Genomic DNA, 26,821 nt, shown 5'->3' on the forward strand with positions numbered 1-26,821 from the left:
AAAGGTGAGCTCTGCTGCCATTTTGAGGACTCGATCCTGGCAGCGATAATGAGGTAGTCCAATTGGGGAGCCTGGGACTCCCCACCAACTTCCTGGGTGTGCTCTGAAATTGAGTGACCTAGGACAAGCTCTCTAAAGTTACTCCTCCAGCAGAGGGAAGAGGCAACCGTGAGGTATTTTCGAAAGCAGTTAAATAAAAATTTGATAATCTATCTAAAACAAGCCACACTTAAAAAAAAAAAAAAAAAGAGTCTTCTTTCCTTCTTCTTATAAAAGTCCAGCGCGTTTCAAAGTCCTTTTAATTGTCAGGCCCAGAGAGACATTAGAATGAGACCACAATCATGCCCTACTCCTTCCTTTAAACTATATATTCATTTCTTAAAACTACATACTATTACTACAAATAGCTATAAATTAACCTAATAATACCACATCAAACAGTATAACCCACATCCTATGACTTAACTATATATAACTAATCACTAATCGACATTATTTCAATAAATCAGTATAAATTCCTAACAATGTTACATCAGTCCACTCCCCATCCCCCTTTTTTTTGCCTTTAAGAATCCACTTATAACTACTACTAATCAAAATATATATTCAAAACAACTTAAATCTATACTCCTGAGTTGCAATCCTCACACTTGGCCCAAATAAACTCTTACTTATATTAATTTCGCCTCACCTTCTTCCTTTTTAAGTCGACACTCCTTTCCCTGATACTTACCAGAAGGCAATTCCTTGGGCTCAGATTAAAACTGACAAAAATAGGAGCCATTCGAAATGAGGGAGCTTCTGAAAAGTTTGGGGATTCCGGAGTGTTCAGGACAACAGAATAGGGAATTCGAAAAAAAAAGAAAGCAAAAATAAAAATCGATTATACAAGCCTTAATGCACCCATGATTGTTATTCCCCACTTCTTTATTTATATGAATGAAGTTAGCATAGTTGCAGCAATGGAGTAACTCCATTATTATTTTTTCCCACTACGCATTTATTTTAAGTCTTTCTTTTTCTCAGGATGTTTTCCTGAGTGATGTCTGATCTAATGGGAAAAAGTGGAAGTAGGAGAGGCAGGACTTTAGAAGGGCTCAAAGTAGATGAACAAAACGGAGGTCTCCTGGAAGCAGGTGACTGAGTTAGGCAACCGAGATGCCCACATATCTGTGCGGCGTTCGCCCCAAGAGGCCAGCCGGCTCCGCTCAGCTCCCCGCGGCGTGGCCGCATCCCCGCCGCCCGACTCCCAGCCCGCTTCCTCTCTCCGCGAGCGGGGGGGGGAGCTGCAGGCGGGGCCCGAAGCGCCCCGGGGGCACGTGGAGCGGCCTCTGGCTCACCTGCGCCTCCCGGGCCCCAGCCCAGCGCCGCCGCGTCACCGCCCCTCCCGCGGCCCCGCCCCAGCCCGGCTCATTGGCTGCCGCTCGGAGGGGAGGGGAAGGGGCGGCTGCGGGGGTCTCATTAGCGATGCGGACTCTCGCCTCCGCTCCGTAGTTCGGGGCCCGGCAGCGGCGCGAGGGCTGGGAACTGCGCGGCGGGGACTGCGGGCGACTCCGGCATCCGCGCTGGCGGCAGCGGTCGCCGCGCCGTGGGAAGCTATGGGGACGCGCCCTTTCTCGGGGTGCCCATTCAGCGGCGGCTCGGAGCTCCCTGCCCCGCTGCTTTAGGAAGCGATCGTGGAGCAGAGTCACTCTCTGAAGACTCCCGAGACCCATTCGACTCGGGACCCTCATCGCCGACCCTTTCCCGGGCTCCCGGAGCGTGAAGAAGAGCCGCCCTCCGGAACGCGGCGAGGAGCATGGGGAGAGCGGCGGCCACCGCAGGCGGCGGCGGAGGGGCGCGCCGCTGGCTCCCGTGGCTGGGGCTGTGCTTCTGGGCGGCAGGGACCGCGGCTGCCCGAGGTAAGCGCTGGGCGGAGCGGGCAGCTGGGGGCGAGGGCGCAGGGGCGCCAGCCTGACGGAGCGGGACCTGCACCGATGGCGTTGGCTTCCCAACTTGCGCCCTGCACCTCGGCGCTCCAAGCCCAACCGGATGGGAGCCGAGTGGAGGACTCCGAGGGGACCACAGCCTTCCAACCCAAGTTTGCGATCTGCCGCAATCCTACAGGTGGCTGTGACCCGGGCCCCTACCGTTTTCCTGGACCCTCCTTGCCTGCTCCATTTTCCAAGCCCTCCCCAATTGCTGCAGACTGGAGTAGCCCGGTCTTCACTCCAATCTCGCTCTCCCCTCTCCTCTCCACTTCCTCTCAAGCCGAGCTTGGTCATGAGTTAGCGCCCATAGCGATGTCGGAGAGTTCCTGGGGAGAGGGGCCAGGTGATGGGAGTGTCTGTAGGGTGGGCTTGAACAGAGAGGGTGTCTTTTCCCTTAGGGGAGGAACACCCATGCTGAAGTCCCTTCGCTCTGCGCCTAGCTTGGCACCCCTCGGGCGTCCTTAGCCCGAGGTCCCAGCCAGCCCTGGAGCTCGGGAGAGCGGCGTGCACCATCCCAGTTTAACCGCGCCTGCAGTGCCCAGCCGGGATGAGCACTTGGCCCGAGGCTGCTCACCAGGCGCCTCCTCTCCCTTCCCGGCGCCTACTCTGGCTTGGAAGCGCGGGCCCCACCGAGCCGCAGGGAAACCTCTGCTTCTTTCCGACTTAGAAGCCTAGACCCCATTTTCTTGGATCCTCTGGACTCCAGCAGAGGGAAATTTCGCAACTGGTTTCAGCTCCACCTTGAGCGAGGACAGGCAGCATCAAGTTAAAGATAAATCCCAAGGAGTTGTTTTGAAGATGATCAGAGGCAGTTTCAGACACAGCTCAAGTACCGGAGCTTTACCTTTGAAAAAAATCGGAAGCTTTGCCTTCCCGCCCTTCTTTCCCTTTTTCCTTCTCTGTGTTCCATCCATCAGGCTTAGAATATGTGATACCGTTAAATGATTTGCCTTACACTTGCCAGGGGAGAGGTGGAGCTGAGCTGACCACTTCACCTGCTCTGTTCGGTCTCCTGAACATGCTCCGACCAGCCTGGAGAGTGAAAGGGTGGAAAGGGTTGAGGACGATCACAAAAGAACCAATGTTATCTCATTTTTATAAAAGCTTATGGCGTGTTAAAAGCAGTCCGGCTGCCTAGAAAGATTTTCTTTTTAAGAGGTTGATAGAGGCTCTCCATTGTATGATCCTATTCTTTGCCCATTTGCATTTCATTTCCTGAAAAGTTTTTTTTTTTTTTTTTTTTTTTTTTTAATGGAGCGGGCTTTGTAAGAAGCAGGGGAGGTTTAAAAATGAGCGTCGGTGATTGTACACCCTGGGTTATGATGAACCACAGTTCCTTCTCGTACTGGAAGAAGCACAAGCTTCAGCCATTTAATTTACTACGTACGGCAAATGTCTCATTGCAAAGTCAGCTCTCAGTTGTTTTTAATACACTCTTATGGGAAAAGTGGGTCTTTTCTAAATGTTAATCTAAATGTCTGAGTTTCCACTTACTATTCGTGTGGAATACCTCACAGTCACTAACTCCAGGTACTCACCCTTGGAATTGGGTTGGTGACGTTGTCTTGAAGCCAGCTCGAAACAAGAGGTGGGGACATGCCAGCAGCCTCTTGGATGGAGTTTTGCTGGCTGCGAAACTAAGGCTAGCACCTCTTGTCTGCAAGCTGTTCTTTAAAGGTCTCCTGGAAAACATGCTGTACATTCTGCAGGCTTATTTACAACAAATGTCTTGCACAGATCATAGTAATATGCAAGACACATGGAGTGGAGCCGTAAATCTGACTGATATTTCCCATGTCATATTTTACATTCTGGGGCATGAGGCCCATTCCCCTTAGCAACTGTCAGAGAGTCCTCAAGAAATGAGCACTAGTCAGGCTGTGAAACCGGTGAAGCCACATGCACCTGGCTTTGCACAGTTGGGTGTAATTGGAGTTTTCAGAATAGAGGGTGTGTTTCAGTGCTTATGAAGTTCTCCCTTCCCAGAAAGGTGTCCATTCATTAAAACCAAGATAAGATGCACTGGTGTGGCATGCTTGCCTGACCACTAGTCTCACCATACTCTCTAGGATTAGCCCTAGGTTGTTCTTACTTATCCAATTAATAGTTTTTGTTCTTTAGGACTTTTCTTGTTGATTTGAAACAAGATACTTTGCTTGCCCTAACCAACGGGGTATAGAATTATGCCATTTGCCTTGCTGTTATGAGAATATTTAACAATTCAGTAGCGTTTTCTTTACCATATTTATCATTTATCTGTTTCCAAAATGATTGCACCAACTTTTTTTTTTCTTTCCTTTCCCTCCATACTTATGTAGAAACCTCTGCAAATCAGAGGGAGATTTCAAATTGGTTTTGAATATACTCTAGGAGGAAGACCCTTGGGACAAGGAAATGTTGTAGAGCCCAGTAGTGGCCCAAGAAGCAATGTTCTGTTTCCCTCCTTTGTAAGTAAGACTTAGCTCTTCAGATGAACATCTCTGCCTGTCGGCATATTGTAAGGAAGGCACTCTGGTGCCATGATCACTGTATATTTTTACACTTTCCAACTTAAAAGGAGGTTGTTTAAAAGTTATTCATGACCTGCCAAGTGCTAACTGAATCCACATCATGTTGTCATACTGATTTGTTTTTGTTCTTCAAGAAAAAAAGGGGGACTGCTGTTCATCTGCTTGTTATTTTTGCCTTAGATACTGTACATAAGATACTGTAGTCATTAAAGGCAGAGAGGAAGATAATCTTAGACAAGCTGAGCTTTCATACAATTTCTTGCTTTAAAACATTTCCTGGACAATGAAATTTTGATTGCAATAACTAGAGTAATGCATTAATGGCAAGAGAAGTACACATTTATTACATAGGCATAATAATAGTCTTGTGATTTACACATACTTAAATCCGTCTATCTGTCTAGCTCATAAAGTTTAAAATCTATAGTCATTTCTACCTTAATGAATGTTGTGAGGCCACCCTCTTCCTTCCCACTTTACTTCTTCTGTTCCTTTTCCTCACAAATCTTTCTCTTCCTAGGACTATGAGAAAGAGTCTTTTTCCCCTATTTCCTGCCAGACTTATTTTTTCCTGATTCTTGGGTTGTGCTCTTATTTTGAGCAGCCCAGTGGCACCTTCTTAAGAGATCTTTTAAGCATCTCAGTTTTTAATAAGAGATTAATTGTTCTGACCTAGCCCTATAATGATAGCACTTGTCACCCTTTGCATACTTTTTTTGCTCTCCAGATGACCTATCGGTGGGTCTGTGGTTCTTTAAGTAGTACCTCACAGGGGAGGGAAACATTTGGAGCTGTGGATCCTTTCTGAGCTCTCTCAGGACTGGATGACTGAATCCGTCAGGTAGTTCTACACTGCGCTGTCTTATTGATTAGGAAATCACTTTTCTGTTTATTGTCTCAATGCTTCATAAATTTGTTTCTATTGTCCTCTTCCTACCAAATGCAGTACCCAACTTAAAGCACTGCCAGTGTTTATCAGGGAATTGGTTTATTGGGAGATACTGCATGTTTGATATCCTTCCCTTCTGCTTTTTTTTTTTTAATATCTAGGCTAGAGACTCAGACATGTATTAAAATCTAATCCCAAAGACAAGTGATTTATTCCATAGCATCCTCTTAAGGAAGGGGGTGGTGGTGGTGTGTGATGCCCTCATAATGGGAAGGCACATGTGTTCACAGGGAGCCCAGATGTGCCCTCCTTCTTGATTACACCTTTGCCATTAATGCTGATTGTCCCTTCGTCCAGGCTGTTACTTGGCCAGCAACATCATTGTCTTCTCTTCCTTCCTCCTCCTTCTGATACCTTCATGAACTAACTGCTCAACAGAATAGATCAATGGAAACGTTCCCTATTTCTATTTCATTCTTAGTCACATATTCTATGTAGAGACACTTATTTTCTCCCTCCTTCTTTCTTTTCCTTTTCTTTTTTCCTTTCCTTTCCTTTTTCCTTTTTCTCTTTTCTCTTTTCTTTTCTTTTCTTTTTTGAGACAGGTTCTCACTCTGTCATCCAGGCAGGAGTGCAGTGGTGCCATCATAGCTCACTGCAGTGGCGAACTCCTAGGCTCAAGTGATCCTCCCACCCCAGCCTCTTGAGTAGCTGGGACTGTAGGCATGCATCATCACACCCGGCTCAGTAATTTTTTGTGTGTGTTTGTTTGTTTGTAGAGATTAGCTCTCACTATTTTGCCCAGGTTGGTCTTGAACTCCTGGGCTCAGGTGATCCTTCTGCCTTGGCCTCCCAAAGTGCTAGGATTACAGGTATGAACCACCACATCTGGCCTCACCCCTTTACTTTCTAAATGGCTACTGCCGGCATAAGACCTATTATCATGTTGTTAGCACTCTTTTTGTATTGTACCTGTTCCTTAAAATAATAAATACATTTCTGCAACTTTGTTTGAATATGAAATAATACTTACATGAAATAATAGTAATACTTATTAGTAATACTTTCATACTTAGTTGAGTATGAAATAATACTCCTAATAATAGTACTTACTTCATGTGTGAGAGTCATAATTCTAAATGCTCTACAAACATTAACTGATGTAATCCTGAAGATAACTCTTTGAGGTAAGTACTGTGATTACCCCCATTGGTAAGATAGGAAAAGAGGGACACAGGATTGAAAGCTTGCCCAAGGCCATGGAGTTAGGACATAGTAGGGCCTAGATTTGTACCTACTCCATCTGACTCCAGGGCCCACAACAAAGACAATTTTTCTGAACTATGCAGAAAAGAAAATGACCCTTGTATTTTGATGACAAAAGTACTCAAATGATATCTTTATTACTATCAAGAGGCATAGAGGAATTTAGAGTACCTTAAATAAGTCTATAAATATGTTCAGATAAATCTGAAAGATTTGTGTTGTTTGAAAATAACCGCCCTCTCCCCATTCAGCTTACTATACTTTGGGATTGGATTCACACTTAAAATTCTGAGTGCCAGTTTCCAATATGATAGCTTGCTTTTGTTTTCAATTTTGAATTTCGGCAGAAAATATGACTCTGATTGAATACGCCATCCATGGAACGGCAGATCCCACGAGACTATTTGTTGCATGTCTTGTATTTTTAGCCTTGTTTGCCAGGGAAATGTGGAGCATGAGATTTGAGAATAGATTGTTAACACCAGAGGCTGCTGTTTCTGCTGTTTTGGGTACTCCTGCTGCTGCTCTTGTGAGGCAGATGGCTAGATTCATTTATAGAAAATAGATATTCGTTCTATTTTGCATTTCCACTTTGAAAAGAACTTTTAATTGTTTGTGCCACATTGCATCGTATGGCCTTATTGTGTGCATACACACGCTGTGCGTAGATAATTTTCAGAATTAGGTGGATGTTAATGTATTCATTTTGGATTGTGTTATCTGAAATCCACTGCTAATTCCTGTGGTTTTGGAATTTTCTCTTGAAAGGAGTATGTTTTCGCTGTGTAAGTATTTTGTGCTCACCCTACCACCACTCCCCCCACACCACTTCACTGAATTCAGTGATAGAAATATGAGGGTTGTGTTTATGGGGCTAAAGTAGAAACAATAACCAAGTAGTAACATTTTTCAGATGATATCAGGCCACTATAGAGCATAAAATATTTCTGAATATTGTTTCTATCAGGACAAGGATAAAATGAGGTCAGTATTCTTCTTATATGACCAGTCTCACTTTTTTTTTTTCAAACTTCAGAGTAGCTTTTATTTTTTATTTTTAAATTTTAACACTTTTTAAAATTGACGCATAGTACATGTACATAGTTTTGGGGTACAAGTAATAACTTAATACATTAATATAATTAGTAAAGATCAAATCAGTGTACTGGGTTATCTATCACCTTTTGATATTTATCTTTTCTTTATGCTAGAAACATTTGAATTGTTCTCTTTCAGCTATTTTGGAATATGCAATAGATTATTATAAACTATAGTCACCCTACTGATCTATCAGACACTGGGTCTTATTCTATTAAGTGGTATATTTGTACCCATTTATCAACTTCTTTTCTTTTGATAGTTTATTTTATAAATGAGGAGACTGAAAAAGTTGAAAGCTGTCTTCCAAGAGAGGTCAATGTTGGCTTTATTTAATGCAAATATTGACTTTCTGCCCCCAAATTACTGGATTCATAAGGTGCAAAAGAACCCTCCTTCCCAGAAAGATTGGTACAGGTACCCCCACCACTCCAGCCCACATTGTATTTAAGGGTATTTTTCCACAGGTGGGAAAATATCACTGTAACCACGTGGGATTTGAATAAGAAACTTTACAGATGTTTTGTCGTTACCTAAATTGAATGCTATGGCTTCCCAGTCAGATAAGTCAGAGGGGAAATGACATCACAGACATTTGGGAAGGTAAGTAACTGGTAGGCAGGCATAGGAAGGAGAAGATGCAAGAGGCCACAGTGAAGAAACTGTCTGAACTACTTCAAGGGACTCACCACCACTGGGATGACTATGCTTTGTGTGATACAATTCACAGGTGTTGGCAGCTTATTATTTTATTTATTTATTTATTTATTTATTTTTGAGATGGGATCTCGCTCTGTCACCAGGCTGCAGTGCAGTGGCAGGATCTTGGCTCACTGCAACCTCTGCCTCCCAGGTTCAAGCAATTCTCCTGCCTCAGCCTCCCGAGTAGCTGGGATTACAGGCATGCACCATTGTGCCTGGCTAATGTTTGTATTTTTACAGACAGGGTTTCACCACGTTGGTCAGGCTGGTCTCAAACTCCTGACCTCGGGATCTGCCCACCTCAGCCTCCCAAAGTGCTAGGATTACAAGCATGAGCCACCGTGCCTGGCCAGCAACTTATTATTAAAGAGAACGTATTTACTCAATATTGGAGAAGATTTGCCTCTAAATAAATATCTGGTAGTTTAGGGTTGCTTAGAAGTCATTGGTGTCTTCTGTTAGCAACAGTACTTATTTAGTAGTTAACATCTTTATTTTAATTTAGTGTAATAAACCTACTGGGAGAGAAGGGGAAGTCAAATGATCATGGGTTATGGAAGCTAAGCTGGTAATATTTGAAACTCACAAATCAGTGCTTTTCAGATGTTAATGTGCATTTGAATTACTGCAGATCTTGTTAAAATGCACATTCTGATTTAATAAACCTGGGGAGGGGCCTGAGGTTCTGCATTTCTGATAAACTCCCAGATGACACCATCTGGGGGCCATGGATGATAGTAATTCTTGTTTTCTATTTTCAATATTGTTTTTTCTTTTGCAAGCCAGTATGAAGTGGAATTCCATGTAAGAATATTTTTAAAATGCCAATTGAAGAGTAAGAAAACACAAATGTCAATTTTAACTCAGACAAACAGCCACTTATAAAACAAATAGGCATTCTGAGGGCGCCGTCCTGATGCAATATAAAGCATTTATAAAGAAAGATGCTGCTCCAGTTTCACAATATTTTAAAAGTCTTGGATTTCCTTTTGAGCTAATTGGGGTCTTATATCTGCATCTAATTTATTTCTTGTCATAAAGAGGAAATTGACTCACCCAGAATTTTACCAGTTTGCCCAAAGTCAGATTTTTGTTAAATAAGAGGCCTTTCTAACTTTCTGTAGCACTCTTTCACGTTATTCTCTTGGCAGGAGCTACATATGCTTAAGAATGATCCGAAGTTCAGGATAATGAGGGGATGAGGCTATAGTTAAGCAAGAGATAGAATGAGAACAGTTGTTTTAAAAAAAACAGAGCAGTGAGTCCATATGGGGTAGTGATGTTTCCCAAGCGGTTGGATCCTTATCCCAACATGGTGTGGAGGTTGTGTCAGGCCCCTCTGCCTTTGATGCAAGTTCCATCTCATTCACTTTTACTTACCCAGTACCTGATAGGGCTTGTCCCATAGCACATGTTGAATAATGTGTGTTACTCGAACTTTATTAAGGCATAAATATTTAGAATAAAATTTCAAAAATCTAATCAATACTGTGATAAAACCCTTAGGAAACTTTATTCACCAGAGGAAGAATAAAATAGTTGTAAGAGGGTTTGACATTTGTTTTAGACAGATACTAAGGCCTACATTCCTAGATAGATTCTTCTAGAAAGATGATTAAGTGACATCTATCATGTGGTCCTATTATGCGTGGCTGTTTAATTCATGTGCATGCAACTTAACATTTTTAGGGGACTCACTTAATTCTGATTGCTTTGTATCTTTGTACCCGCCCTAATATTGAACAGATGATGAAATTAAGGTTGACTTTAGAGATTTTTTGACCAAAGTCGAACAAACCTAAACAGGTAGTGATAAACAGTGCTAGGACTAGAAGCCAAGCCTTCATGGTTTCAGGGCCTTTTCGATGATGTTACCATGTAATTCTATTTTATTAGCACATGGATTGATTATACTGAGGTGGGATGATACAGCACTTCACTCATAGTCCATTTGACAGGGATGTGGATGTATAAGCATCGGAGACAGAAAGAGAAATAAATGGATAAAAATTCATTTCACTGCCTATTGTGCCTTCTTGGTCTGTAGGGTGGTATGTTTCTCATGGTTATAAACAGAAATGGCCCTGTCTGTGACAAAGGGCTGTCACAAATGTGTCAGGAATGATTGGAGGACAGTAACTTTATGAATATATTAAAAATAACATGCTGTAGTATGGAGTAATTGATGTGTAGAATATTCTGAAGAACTTTTGAAAAATCAGGGGATTTAAAGTAGTTTATTAAAGTAAGTAAAATAACAAATTACAGTAGTTTTTCTCAGGTTTTGTTTTTAAAGATGCTATTACAGGCTGGTCACAGTGGCTCATGCCTATAATCCCAGCACTTTGGGAGGCTGAGGTGGGAGGATGGCTTGAGGCCTGGAGTTTGAGACTAGCCTGGACAACATAGCCAGACTCTCTTCTCTGCACATTTTTTTTTTTAAAGTTAGCTGGACGTGGTTGTTCGTGCCTGTAGTCCCAGCTACTCGGGAGGCTGAGGTCAGAGGACTGTGTGAGCCCAGGAATTTGAGGTGACAGTGAGCCATAATCACTGCATTCCATTCCTGGAGACAGAGCAAGACCCTGTCCCTCCAAAAAAATTAATTAATTAAATAAATATGCCATTAGAGACACCAATTTTTTAGAAGTATACTAGCTCCTCAATCTGCGTACTTTTCTAAATACCTCGTCTTTATTATTACTTTTGAGTGTATGTGCTTTATTTTTACTTTCTGTGTCCAGTTGTAAAGCGAAATTCTTCTGATTTGTGTTCGAAAGCAGTTTAGTGGCACAATACAATTAGACTTATAATAACAATTTCCATCAATATGTCATTAAGAAGTGTCTAGCCTGTTTTTTTTAAGAGAGATGGAAAAAAAATACAGAGCACAAAATACAGTTCTTTGCCAGAGAACTATAACTGTGTTGTAAGCCTTTTGAAAGGAACTGGGAAAAGAAAGAATCTATCCTTCCTCTGAATAGACAGCCCTTGTTTCTCTCTCAGTCTTGGGACCAGAAGCTGCAGTGATTACTAGCAGCTTGTATCGGGAGGTTTCCAAAGTTGTTTCTCTTAAAAAAAGCAATCAGGATGTTCACAGGTTTTGTCAGTGTGAGGTGTGTGGGAGGGATATAAGGGTTTGGGGGTTTGCTATAAAGAAATAACAGGTTTGTTATTAATTTTATTTTTCAACTTAGAGCAAAAAATAAAAATATCCATCTGATGTTTTCTAAAGTTTAGCAGCTAACTTGCAATGCACATCAGTCTCCAGGATATCAATGTGAAAAGACAGCTCTAACCTACCACATTCTGCAGCGGAGAAGACCATTGTAGAGTCAATTATTAATAATTGTCAAGGTGATAAGGACTGTAATTCATGGATATCTGTGTGTATTATATATTAGTAGAATGTCATATATCATCATCATAGCAAACTTAGATCATTAAAGTTATATGCCATTAATTTAAATGGCATTAGTAACACTTAAACTTGGGATGTAATCACAATTTTGACTCAAAAGTCAGCTGCTTAATTCTGCTAACCATCACTTCACTCTCCATGGTGTCTCCCATCTAACCCCCTATGCTCGGTCTTTTCTTGTTTCCTTTCTCCTCTTCAAGTCAAAACTTCCTTTCCATTTAAGCAATGTGGGGGGCTAGAAAGTTCACAATTATGTGTACTTGAAACATCACTTTTTTCTCTAGTTCTTTTTATTTGTAGGAGAAGCAGTGACTAAATTGTCATTAAGGCTCCTTCCTGCTCTGAACTTCCGTGATGCCGCCCTTTGTTTTCTGTACCGTTTATTCACATTATTTTTTTATCATTTCAGGAAGCTTTTCTTGGCATTTTAAATATGCATCAAACCTTCAGTAAAGGGATAATACTCTGGAAATAGAAATTGCAGGACAAGTTAATGGGACTTCATAATGACGTTGGTAATCCTTGGCTTAAGCATTTTCAAGAATGTACCAACTATAAGAGAAATCTATTTTTTTTTGTTTTGATTTCTCTTAAATCAGTGGCTGTAGGTTAATGCATACATGTATAACTAATGCAGAAGTGGTTTGGCAGGAGAAGACCTGGAGGAGTTAGGCACCCTCTGCCATAGCTCACCATTGCTCAGTTGGGTGTATGGGACCCCTCTTGCTAGATTGACTTCTTTCTTTTTTTTAGTAGATACCAGATATATGAAATTTCATGTTAAACTTGCAGATCTGAAGTCTTATCAAATTGTTTTCACGAAGCATCACGACTCCAGCAAAACTCACAAGATATGGCACTCGGCCCTCCAGTTTGTCTCAAATCAATGACTTGGTCATGTTTTGTTAAGAGATTTAAAGAATCAGGGAGCCAGTTGGTCCTCATTTTCAGTAATTATCTTCGCTTGAGCTGTGGGCATACAACACTTTTTCTAGATTTGTAGAATAGTGTTATGTCATGGCCCTTTATTGAACACTGATTTGATCACTGAGTTTCTGTGGCTCTCTGTTTCCCATTTGCAAAGAAAAACAATCATAAAATTACATTGCTAAAAAGGGCCCTAAAATTTCCAGGCCAAAGTCCAAATTTGTACATGAGAAAAAAAGGTGTTGAGGAGTGAAGTTGCTTGCTTGGCTTTTAGAGGTCATTTCCGTCCGTCCCTGCCCATGAATCCAGGTCTTCATTTTCTCAGTGTTGTCCTTGCCTCTTCCCTTTCAGGCTTATAATAACAAAAGTAATCAATAGAGGCACAAAGGAATTCAAAAGAATGATACCAGAAGACTAAAGACTATTGATCATTTTACCCTTCTGTTAAAGGATGTTTTCCTTTTATTTAAATGTTTATATTTTTCTAAAATATCTTTGAAATTACAGAGATTTTTTTTTTTTCCTTTGGCTTACAGAATGCTGAGGTCATGATATGATGGATGCAGTTTGGTGTAGCAGAAATAATATTGTAAAAAAGGTTTGCATTATAGATTCGTTTTGTGTTTGGGTGAAAGTTAGGGTGCCTTAAGTCTTAATCTTAAGCTTTTGTTCCAGTTACTTAACATCTGGATCCTTAATAATAAATTTGTTCAGTATGAATCTACTAGGAGATCCTAAATAACTTCTCTCTCTCTCTATATATATATATGTATAAAATATATAAAATATATATAATATATAAATATGTATAAAATATATAAAATATATATAATATATAAATATATATTATATATAAAATATATATAATATATAAATATATATTATATATAAAATATATATAATATATAAATATATATTATATATAAAATATATATAATATATAAATATATATTATATATAAAATATATATAATATATAAATATATATTATATATAAAATATATATAATATATAAATATATATTATATATAAAATATATATAATATATAAATATATATTATATATAAAATATATATAATATATAAATATATATTATATATAAAATATATATAATATATAAATAAATATTATATATAAAATATATATAATATATAAATAAATATTATATATAAAATATATATAATATATAAATAAATATTATATATAAAATATATATAATATATAAATAAATATTATATATAAAATATATATAATATATAAATAAATATTATATATAAAATATATATAATATATAAATATATATTATATATAAAAAATATAATATATAAATATATATTATATATAAAAAATATAATATATAAATATATATTATATAAAATATATATAATATATAAATATATATTATATAATATATATAATATATAAATATATATTATATAAAATATATAATATATAAATATATGTTATATAAAATATATAATATATAAATATATGTTATATAAAATATATAATATATAAATATATGTTATATAAAATATATAATATATAAATATATGTTATATAAAATATATAATATATAAATATATGTTATATAAGAAATAGATATAATATATAAATATATGTTATATATGAAATAGATATAATATATAAATATATGTTATATATGAAATAGATATAATATATAAATATATGTTATATATGAAATAGATATAATATATAAATATATGTTATATATGAAATAGATATAATATATAAATATATGTTATATATGAAATAGATATAATATATAAATATATGTTATATATGAAATAGATATAATATATAAATATATGTTATATATGAAATAGATATAATATATAAATATATGTTATATATAATATATATATTTATAAATATAAATATATGTTATATATAATATATATAAAATATATAAAAATATATAATATATATAAAATATATAAAAATATATAATATATATAAAATATATAAATATATATAATATATTATATAAATATATAAAATATAATATATAAAAATATAATATATAATATATATAATATTTATATTTTAAAAATATATTTTATATATAATTCTATAATAATATAAAAATATATAATATATTATATAAATATATAATATATTATATATAAACATATATAATATAAATATATAATATATTATATATAAACATATATAATATATATTATATATTTTTATATAATATATTATATATAAACATATATAATATATATTATATATGTTTATATAATATATATTATATAAAAATAATATATAAAATATATATAATATATAAAAGTTATATATAATATATAAAAAAATATATATATTATATATATAAAATTATATATAATTATATATAAAATCTACATAAAATATATATATTTTGAAGACAGCTTTCCATGTTGGCAGTAATATGTCCATGATATCCTCAAAAAGCCATAAATTTACATCCAAAAAGAGTGACTGGATATACTTTTAAAAGCTTTGGTGGCCAGGCGTGGTGGCTCACGCCTGTAATCCCAGCACTTTGGGAAGCCAAGGCAGATGGATCACCTGAGGTCAAGAGTTCGAGATCAGAGTGGCTAACATGGCGAAACCCCATCTCTACTGAAAATACAAAAATTAACCAGGTGTGGTGGCAGGTGCCTGTAATCCCGGCTACTCGGGAGGCTGAGGCAGGAGAATCGCTTGAACCTGGGAGGTGGAGGTTGCAGTGAACCGAGATTGCACCACTGCACTCCAGTCTGGGCAATGGAGGGAAACTCTGTCTCAAAATAATAATAATAATAATAATAATAATAATAATAATAATAATAAAATAAATAAATAAAAACTTCGGTTGCTTCTTCTCATGCAGTTCTGAGTTTCTTTTAAAGTGAATTCTGCATCTCTTGTGACCATAATAACGTGCAAAAAGCAATCCCTGTATAGAGCTTATGAAACTCTTGTGCCTCTATTATGATGATTCATGTTGAAGCCACCTTGCTGGAGAAGTGTTGAAAACTCTTGATTCTTGGAGATTAGGTGTCAAAATATTCAAGGTTTGGCTATTTTTAGCAATTTATCAGTGAAGTGTCTTGCTGCTAGAAATAGTGGTCAGGCTTTGAATCTACAAATCCCTTGTCTTCACTGAAAGCCATTTTTTTTTTTCAAAATTGCAGAAAGGAAAACATCTGTAGTATTTTCACCTAGGGTTAGGTGAGAACATCATAGGTGCTTTGAATGTGTGTGGGCATTTACTTTTTTTTGTTTTTTTAAGTTATTTAAAAGTTTAAATGGTTTTATTGGAACACGTTAGATTAAAAGATGAGCCCCAAATGTTTAATGTAACCCTTGTTTATAGAAACACCCATGTGTGTAATTGAAATTCTGAAGAGAAAGAGTTTAATTCTGAAGTTCTCAGTCAGCTGATGCCAAGGCATTGATCTCAGAGCACTTAAGTCAGAATCTCAGTGGGAAGGACCCAGGGTTTTGTTTGTTGTTGTTTGCTTGTTTGTTTGTTTGTTTTAAGTTCCTCAGGTTGTTCCCAATTTGGGAACTTAAGACTGAGAGCCATGGATTTATTTATTTATTTCCAAATAATTTCAACTTATATTTTAGATTCAGGGGGTGCATGTGCAGGCTTGTTACCTGAGTATACTGTGTGATGCTGAGGTTTGAGAATGATTGATCCTGTCACCCAGATAGTAAGCATAGTACCCAATAGTTAGTTTGTTTTTCTTTTTTGAGATGGAGTCTCGCTCTGTTGCCTAGGCTGGAGTGCAGTGGCACGATCTCGGCTCACCGCAACCTCCGCCTCCCTGGCTCAAGCAAATCTCCTGCCTCAGCCTCCCGAGTAGCTGGGATTACAGGTGCATGCCACCATGTCTGGCTAATTTTTTTCTATTTTTAGTAGAGACGGGGTTTCACCATGTTGACCAGACTGGTCTTGAACTCCTGACCTCAGGCAATCCGCCCGCCTCGGCCTCCCAAAGTGTTGGGATTACAGGCATGAACCACCGCTCCTGGCCCCAGTAGTTGCTTTTTCATCCCTCCTTCCCCCACTCTAGTAGTCCCCAGTGTCTCTTGCCGCCATCTTTATGTCCATGTGTACCCAGTGTGTAGGTCCCATTTATAAATGAGAACATGCAGTATTTGGTTTTCTGTTTCTGAATTAATTTCCTTAGGATAATGAGAGCCATGGATTTAATGCATGCATTGATTGTGTATAAACATAGAAACTGTCCTTTCTTGAGAATTCAAGAAGTTATTTGAAGATTCCTATAATGACAAAAGCATAAGGTATGAAGATGACCGCCAATGGTTCACCTCTTCCTCCCTATTAGGCCTTATCTTTCCACCTTGCATCCTATACTCGTCTGTTCTCATGTTGCTATAAGAACATACCTGGGACTGGGAAATTTATAAAGGAAAGATATTTAATTGACTCACAGTTCAACATGGCTGGGTAGGCCCTAGGAAACTTATAATTATGGCAGAAGGGGAAGAAAACATGTCCTAATTCACATGGTGGCAGCAAGAAGTGCTGAGCAAAAGGGGGAAAAGCCCTTTGTAAAACCATCGGATCTCATGAGAACTTTCGTGAGAACCACCCCCATGATTCAATTATCTCCCACCGGATCCCTCCCACAACACGTGGGGATTATGGGAACTACAATTCAAGGTGAGATTTGGGTGGGGACACAGACAAACCGTATCACATCCTAAACCCTTTGCATGAGTGAAATTGAATGTTGGCACACAACGTTTCACCTTTTGGGAGCTAGCCTTTTCTTGCTAGGGTAAAAGAATTCAGGTATTAATAAAACTAATGTGATTATATGGAAAGATTATACAGTATGGAAGGAACATTTTAAGAACATGAGGTTAGAGATTGTGCCATGTTTCTCTTGTGGACAAGAACATAGGGGCCCATAAATGGAGATTCCTTGTTTTCCTTTAACCTTCATCTAATGTGTCTTAGGTATTACATCTCAGGATGTAAATGATAAGAGGCCATATTTATGAAAGGACTAATATTTTTGTACTTATCTTAGTGTCTGAAGGATGTAGGCCTGGTAGTTCCTCATACGGAGTAGGGTGAGGCCCTAGTCACTGTCTACTGTTAACCAAAAGAGGTGGGCAGGAACCCCTGGCCTACACACCTTTGCCATTGTAGGAAATATAGCATAGGCATTACATCTAAAGCAAGCTTTCCTAATATTACTACCCTGTTCCTAACTACCAATGGTTCTTTTTTTTTTTTTTTTTTTTTTGAGATGGAGTCTCACTGTTGCCCAGGCTGGAGTGCAGTGGCGCGATCCCGACTCACTGCAGGCTCTGCCCCACGGGGTTCACGCCATTCTCCAGCCTCAGCCTCCTGAGTAGCTGGGACTACAGGCGCCAATGGTTCTTTATTTATGAAAAGCCCCTTGTAAAACCTGGTTCAAGTAAAACATTTTGTGATTTATTTAATTGTTGCATATGAATAAATATAGTTTTTAAAAAGTATCAGATGAAAATGTATATCTATGAACTTACCACTATACTTAGAAGTAAAGTTATCAACATCTTTCACTCCTCTACATATTTCTCCTTTAACCCATTTTTCTGGTCCTTCTTAAAAGTAATCACTCTTAAATTTTGTGCTTATTCTGTTGTTTTAAAAAATAGTTTAAACAAATATGTGTGTACTCCTAAACATAGGTTACTTTTGCTTCTTTTTGAGATATATTTAAATTTTATTGTGGTCTACATATTCTTCAGCAGTTTGTTTTTTTACCCAATATTATGTTTCATCTGTATTACTGCATTTACTATCCCTAGTTGATTCACTTCCCTGAAGTACAATATTCAGTTGTGTGGCTATACCATAATTTAGTTATTCATTTTGTTGTCAGTAAAATTTGGGTGATTATCAGATTTTTTTCTAGCATGAAAAATGCTACTAGGAACATTCGTGTATGTGTCTAATGGTATACACTTTCAAGTGTTTTTTTATATATGTGAGAGTAGATTACTTGGACCTTGAAGATGAACATGCTATCTTTTCCAGATACTGCCAATTATTTCAGCAAGATATGAGTTCCCATCATTTTATATTTGTCAGCATTTGATATTTCCAGGCCTAGTGATTTCCAGTCATTTACTGGATATAATATGATTATCTCTGTAGGGAGTTGATTTCCATCTCCTCAATTACTAATAAAGTTAAAAATCTTTTCATATGTTTTATTGCCATTTTTATTTCTTCTGTAAAGTACCTACTCATGGCTTTTTCTCATTTTTTGTTTGTCATCATTGAATTATAGGAGTTTTGAGAGAGTGAGCAAGCTAGTCTGTGTGTGTGTGTGTGTGCGTGTGTGTGTATCTCCTTAATGTGTTATATGTGATTGGAACTTCTTCTCCCACTTTGATGCTTCCTTTCTTCCCCACTTGTTTTAGGTATCTTCTGATGAAGTGGAGTTATTTATGGTATGTTCTCAGGAGCTACAATTTTTAATTTCAATGTAATCAGTGTTTTTAATTATCTTATGTTTAGCTCTTTTGGGTCATGCTTAGGAAATTCTTCTTAAATTTCATTGATAACAGTCTTCCATACTTTCTTCTAAAGTCTTATATTTTGGCCTTTCATATTTATTCCTTTAATCCACCTGGAGTAGATTTTTTTTTTCCCTCTGTAGAGTTTGGAGTAGAGATTTTATTTCCTTTTTTTTTTTTTTTTTTTTTCTTTTTTTTTGAGACAGAGTCTTGCTCTGTCGCCCAGGCTGGAGTGCAGTGGCACTATCTCAGCTCACTGCAACCTCCACCTCCTGGGTTCAAGCGATTCTCCTGCCTCCGCCTCCCGAGTAGCTGGGACTACAGGCATGTGCCACCACGCCCAGCTAATTTTTTGTATTTTTTTTAGTAGAGATGGGGTTCCACCATGTTAGCTAGGATGATTTCGATTTCCTGACCTTGTGATCCGCCCGCCTCGGCCTCCCAAAATGCTGGGATTATAGGTGTGAGCCACCACGTGGCCTCATTTCATTCTTTCATGTGGATAGGCAGTTGTTCCAGAAGTATATAGTGAGGAGCTTCTTCTTTCTCTAATGATCTGCAATGTCACCTTCATCATTTATGAAGGTTGCACATATACATGGGAATTTTTTAGTCTGGCATTAAATGTTCTTCAAAAGAGTTCCTGCAAACGTTTTTGTTTTTATTTCCTACTGTTCCCTTCACGTACTCTCTACTGAACTAAACTCTGTAATGTGTCTCGAAACTGTCCCACAATTTTCCTTGTCTTAAGAGTTTAATGCTTTCATACACCTCTCACATTCAGCCTTGTGCTATTGTCTTAGGTATATTTATTTCTCTTTTGCTCCCAATTATGTTGTAAACTTTTGGAAGCAGGAAGGATATATTGTTCATCTTTGGTAGCATTAAACAATGAATACAGTGTTTTTTACTTAATAGATATTTGGTAAATCATTGAACTAAATTGGGGTTTGGAATTGAAGGTCTTAGAAATTACCTGACCACTCCCATTATATTTGCCCATCCATGATCACTGAGATTTATAGAGATTAGATGCAATGCCCAGTTTCACATATGTTTTTGCATCACTGTCTCTTTTTTTCTTGAGCTTATTCCAGAGTGTCTTTTAATATCCATTCCATGATCAAATGGCTGAACTATTAAAATGCTGTCCAGAAGTGTAAAGCAATATGAAGATGCTAGAAAAGTTGAAGAGACACATATATGGTAGGTCCAAGACCATTACACTTACTGAGTCCATTACTAAAAATGATGTTCACTTAACATCAAAACACTCAGGATTACCCAAGCACAATATACTGATTTGCACCTCTGCCTTTGTTCATGCCCCTTGTTCAGGAGAACTGCTTTCATGTGCTACTGTCCATAGATCTTCTCTATCCTTACAGATTAATTTCTTCCTTTTGAATGCTATGTTTCCATACTTTGACATTCCTTCTGCACCATTCAGACCATATTTTAGTTCTTTTTTATGGTATCTCTCACTTTTGATTGTCACCCCTTAAGTCAAAGACAATTTTTTCATCTGTGTCTTCTCAACACCCAGCACAGGGCTATGTTTGGTAAAAATTAGGTATCCAAGATGTACTAAATGAAAAAATCAAAGAAGCAAAAATTTTTGAAATTTCAAATGAGCTTATAAATAAGCTCTGTTATGTACTTATTGTAAGAAGTTTGAAAATAGAGAAAAGTATTAAAGAGAACAGAAATCTCTAAAAAATCCCAAAATAACCACCTCAGGGGAGTTCTTAAGTTAGAAGCCACATCTCTCATGGTACCCCTGTTGATCTGCAGGTCTCTGCTGGTTTCTCTTAGTCGCCACCATTTTGGAAGAGGAACATCCAGTCACTCAAGTGCTAAACTAACACTCTAGCGTTGCTCTTCTTATCATCTCAGAATGTTTGCTTCCTGGTAACTGGTGCTAAGTATCTTGTATGTTCTGTTACACATCTTCAATGCTTTGGATAATGTCAAAATACCACATAGTTGTTATTTTTAACAACTGGTCATCCTGAGTAGACGCACCCATCCATCATAGTGACTCAAGGCCACCAGTAGCAAGCTCTTCAGAAAAGTTATGGAGTAGTACTTTGTGTTAAATGAGCTAATTAAGAGACACAAACCAACATCATTTTTTTTTAATCTCTCAGGATGAGGATGTTGTGTGGATAGATTACTATTCTGATATTTAGAACAGAGGTTTGTTTGTTTAAAAATTGTATTTATTTAATCTCCCAAAACAACTGAGAAGGCTGGTTTTTCTACTCCTGGTATGCTACCATATACTAGATTTGTCTCAGCATCAGATCTTGGCTAATATGAGCTCTTCTGACAACTGTAGACACAGAGAAATTGGGGTGTGTTTAGTTAGAATATTTACTGTTCTTATGTGTGTTGAGAATATCTCAGTTGTGGTATAGCCTCACCTCTAAGCAATGACATCATGACATATATTCAAATTATATTCTGCTTTTTTTGTCTTAGATAGAAATAAACAATTACATGGAATTTTCATAGGCAAATTAATTAAGATGAGAGCAATCAGTCTTTGCCTAGTCTCCTTCCCACCTTCTTCTCAAAGTGATTTATTAATAAACTGCATCTGAAATAATTAAGAGGTAGAAAATAAAAATCTGAAGACCATATTTCATAGCAGACTTCAATTTTATATGAAGGTCTCAATTTATTCATTCCTCCATCACCACCATCTTTCATAGCCAAAGTACTCATCTCTAAATGGAAGGTTTCTAAAATTCCTCATCTATAGAAGTGCCTTCCCCTATGTGTATACACACATACATGGTGTTAGTGTTTTGTAGCTAATGGTTCCCTATGTAGCACGTTGAATGTGTGTTTATATTTCTTCATAAAGCACCTCGATGGCAGGGACTTGTTATTTTCTAAATCTTTGTATACTTGTTTGGGACATTTTAGTCACTGAAGGAATAATAGATGAGTGGATGAATAGGTACCAACTACAATGAATATTTGTGGGTTAATTGAGCTCTGACTGCATAACTTTTTTTAATATACTTTAAATTCAGGGGTACCTGTGCAGAACATGCAGGTTTTTACATAGGTATACATGTGTCATGGTGGTTTGCTGCACCCATTAACCCGTCATCTACATTAGGTATTTCTCCTAATGCTATCCCTCCCATAGCCCCGAACGCCCTGACGGGAGTTTTATGTGATAATATGAGTGTCTGCTATGGGCCATTCATTGTGCTAGATGCTTACCATAAAAATGTCTTCATTTGTACAATAACCTTATAAAATGAACATTATTATGTGCTTTACAAAAAAAAAAAGAAACTAAAACTCAGGTATATACTTTCCTAAGTCCATACTTCCAAGAAGTGGAGCAGGAAGAATTTGAACACAGGGCAGCCTAACTCCAACACATATGTGCTGTCCTGGTATCATATCAAGGTGCTTCTAACTTCATAATGAAGAGGATGGACATAGAATTGTCCAGGATTCTTTGGATATATTGGATATAATATGCCTTTTAGACCCAGCTGTAGTTTGTTTTCCAAAGTAGCTATTCCCAGCTTCTCCTTAGCCACTAGATACGGTAGGGAGTTCCCTGAGCAAATACATACTGAAATCCATCTTTTTGGTTTTGTTTTTGGCTCTCCTGCTCTTTTTTTGTTTTTTTTTTTTTTTTGTTTTTTGTTTTTTTTTGACTGAGTCTCACTCTGTTGCCAAGCTGGAGTACTGCGGCAACGTCTCGGCTCACTGCAACCTCTGATTCCCTGGTTCAAGCAATTGTCTTGCCTTAGCCTCCTGAGTAGCTGGGATTACAGGCACGCACCACCACGCCCAGCTAATTTTTTTATTTGTAGTAGAGACGGGGTTTCACCATGTTGGTCAGGTGATCACGATCTCCTGACCTCGTGATCCACCTGCCTCGGCCTCCCAAAGTGTTGAGATTACAGGCGTCAGCCAACGCGCCCAGCCTGGCTATCTCTTATATTACCTGTTTATAGATCACAGTTTTTCCTACTGTGTAACTGTCCTTGGGCACAGATTCTGTTTCCCCATTCGGTGCCTAAATAGCACAGAAATGATAGAGTCTGGCTCTCTGGGGCACTGGTCTGCCAGCAGGCACCCTACTAGTGTTATGCTGGCTGATGACTGGACTCTAACTCTCACAGTGCTTGCTGTTTCAGGGCCTGATGCTTTCTGTACATCCAGAGGACTAGGTTTAAAATTGCAATAGTAATACCTTTTCCATGGAGTCAGTGTTATGTATGACATGACCTTGCTTTGGGCAAAGATTATGCATGCATTGATATACAAACGAATAATAGTTGGTGGTATGAATTATACGCCAAATTGTCGCCTCAGGTAAAATCAGTAACCTGCATTTCTAACTGAGCTTTTATTGCCAGAGACTCCCTAAGACTATTGACACCATTGGTCAGTATTACCGCAGGAGAATTCATACGTATTTAACACACCCATGCACCTTGCTAGCCAGATTGCAGATCCTATTTTATTAAGTTCTCAAAGGGAGAAAAGTGACATTGCAGAGAGGAAAATAAAAGTAAAAGTGATTAAGTAGCTTTCCTGAGTCATAACAAATTGTGAGCAATGGATCTAAATTTATTCATTTTCAATTCATTCCAAAACAATGTATGGAGTACATTTATTGTATACACATGTGTCTTAATCCATTCGTGGTACTATAACAAAATGCCTTAGACTTGGTAGTTTATACATAGTAGACATTTCTTGCTCATGGTTTTGGAGGTTGGCAAGTCCAAGATATCAATGTGCCTGAGATTTGATGTCTAGGAGGGCTGCTCTCTGCTTCCAAGATGATGCTTTCTTGCTGCATCGTCACATGGAGGAAGGGAGGAACAGTGTTCTTACATGGTGGAAGGGCAAAAAAAGGGACACACTTGCTGCCTCAACCCATTTTATAAGGGGGCAAATCCTGTTTCATCAGGGCAGAGCCCTCATGGCCTAATTACCTCCCAAAGTCTCCACCTCTTCATATGGTTGCATTGGGGATTAAATTTCAACATGATTTTTAGAGAGACACAAACATTCAAACCATAGTAATATGTTATTTTTAAAAGAGACAGTAGAGAATAGTGGCAGAGCACACAGTGTGGGGGATCAGACTACTTGAGTTAGGATTCACTTTTTAGTACTTATGAGCTGTGTGTCCTTAGGAAAATAATTGAACCTTTCTGTGTTTCCGTCTCCTCATCTGTAAAATGGGGATAAATAATAGTACCTACCACATCAGGGTGTTGTGAGGATTAAGCAAATTAATATATGCAAAGTATTTAAAATATTTATAATAGATAATATTTTATCTACATTTATTATTAATACTACTGCTGCTGCTGTATTTGAGACACTGTGCTGGAAACTGAGATCTAGAAATAAAAGCGACTATAGCTGCCATCAAAGATCTTTCAGTTTAGCAAGGGAGATGCCAGAATAAACTCTATAAGGAAAAGTGGGAAATGCAGGGAGTGAAACATCTCAGAGTGCTATGGCATCACAGCCAAGAGCCTCCCGAATCTTTGAAGTAGGAGTTTACCCAGAGGAAGTGATCACTGATCTGTGTGGTGAATTTTGAGTGGGAATCATGCAGAGAAGGTTTGAGAGACAGGTGATTCAGGGCAGCACCAAGAAGACCAAAGCCCGTTATCTGGAGAAGTACTCTTCCCCCTGGCTGTTTAGGTCTGTCTGGGAAGGTGCATTCAACAGAAAACAAAACCTTATATTCCATGGAAAAAGGAAAAAGATAAATGTCCTTGGGAGCAGTTAAGTGTTGGTTTGTTCTGTGGTGTTGAGCTCTAAACTCCAGTCCTTTCGATAATGTAATTCCTAACAGTGGGGTGGAGAAGGCAGAGAGAAGAAAAGCCAGTGTATTAAAGAAAAGGCTGTGGATTTCTGAAAGGAATGAGAATTCACACACCAAGGAAGAATCTTCAGAGAAGGGAGAGGAGGTGGTTGGCAGTGGCTGGCTGGTAGTTAGGATGGAAGGGGATTGGGGAGTGGACACAGATTTTACCCACATTGCAGTACTTTCCTGGGCAGAAGTGAATGCTGGCTGGACGTGAGCTACCATAATAGTTGTTTGGAAAAGAATTGGTTCCATCAGAAGTAGACGCCATGCAGATTTGAGCTGAGGCTGCTGCCTCGTGTTTTATTTTCCAGCCGTGGACTCCAGGGTGCTATATATTATTACTCTAGATGCAGTAACTACTCCCCATCACGTTGGTAGTTCATTTTTACCTTTTCCAAGTGAACACTTTAGTCAGACTGATTTACGTTTTTTCCTCCTCTCTGAAATAGAGGAGTGCTCTTTAGCACTTTTACCCTTTGAAAATATAAAATCACTCAAGGGCTTTCATATTTTCAAAGGGCAGAAGCAACTTTAGCGAGAGAGAAGAGTGCAAAAAGCTGACTGATCTTTTTTTTTTTTTTTAAATGCTGTAATGAAAACATGTAGAAGACATATCCTGCGGGCCAGTGTATGTGGACGCTGGTAAAAAGGTGGAGGAAGTGGGGAGGGGTGAGAGGGCAGGGAAGGGTACACATTTGGAAAGTGAAACTGTTCCGCTGTAGCTGGAATTTGATTTTTATTTTTTCCTTTTAAAGTCACTGGAGGAGAAATAGTCCTTATCATTTTTCCCCCCAGGTTCATGCTAGGATACAAATAAAAAAGTGTCTCTGAAGATTTTAATTGAGAAAACGACTGCCTCCTTCTTTGGCAATGATTTGCCAAATCTCTAACCGCTGAGAATGAAATCAACGCACCATCAGGAACTTGCCAGTGTTATTCCTGAGTGAATTTTGCCTTCAGAGTGACAGGTATAGTTATGTCTTCTCGAAAGTGCAGAGGGAACGGTTCACCTGTCAGGTGAGAAACAAATAACTTAGCCACCAGCCAGCCCCATTACCTCAGCCTTGTACCACACCTGACATACAGTAGACACCTCTGGAGCGGTCCATCATTCCAAAGCACCATATTTTACCTAGTGAGGTGCTTACTACAAGCAGCTATAGAAAAGATCTACTGACTCAGGCTTCATTGGCAATGCTCAATTCCGAGGTGGATGGGCCATTTGCGTCGTCCACAAAGTACACACGACCAAAGTGTTATCTGCAGGAAGGGTTTTATTTATGCTTATTATTATTGTTGTTGTTGTTTGAGATGGAGTCTCGCTCTATCACCCAGGCTGGAGTGCAGTGGCATGATCTGTGCTCATTGAAACCTCTGGGTTCAAGCGATTCTCCAGCCTCAGACTCCAGAGTATCTGGGACTACAGGCCCATGCGGCCATACCGAGCTAATTGTTTGTATTTTAGTAGAGATGGGGTTTCACCGTGTTGCCCAGGCTGGTCTCAAACTCCTGAGCTCAGGGAATCCACACACGTCTGCCTCGCAAAGTGCTAGTTATGCCTATTATTAAATATAAACTTGAACAATGGCGTAGGGAGCGTGTAGCAGCTGTGACTCTTAAATGCCAT

General features: G+C 38.3%; 1 protein-coding gene across 17 annotated transcripts in view; it reads left to right on the top strand.

Annotated features, from left to right (window-relative positions):
* The first annotated feature begins 1,488 nt into the window (after positions 1 to 1,488).
* The window catches only part of UNC5D (unc-5 netrin receptor D), a 561,066-nt gene continuing 535,733 nt past the window's right edge, over positions 1,489 to 26,821 (top strand). For 16 of the 17 annotated variants that reach the window (NM_001438417.1, NM_001438418.1, NM_080872.4 and 13 more), the window contains exon 1: positions 1,489 to 1,901. In NM_001438417.1, the coding sequence (NP_001425346.1) occupies positions 1,799 to 1,901 (103 nt within the window). In that variant the 5' untranslated portion in view covers positions 1,489 to 1,798. Of the gene's footprint in view, positions 1,902 to 17,424; positions 26,212 to 26,821 lie in introns of those variants that run through there. The other variant, XM_047421380.1, reaches the window with a different exon arrangement.

Source organism: Homo sapiens, chromosome 8 (genome assembly GCF_000001405.40).
Source record: "Homo sapiens chromosome 8, GRCh38.p14 Primary Assembly".
Taxonomy (NCBI): domain Eukaryota; kingdom Metazoa; phylum Chordata; class Mammalia; order Primates; family Hominidae; genus Homo; species Homo sapiens.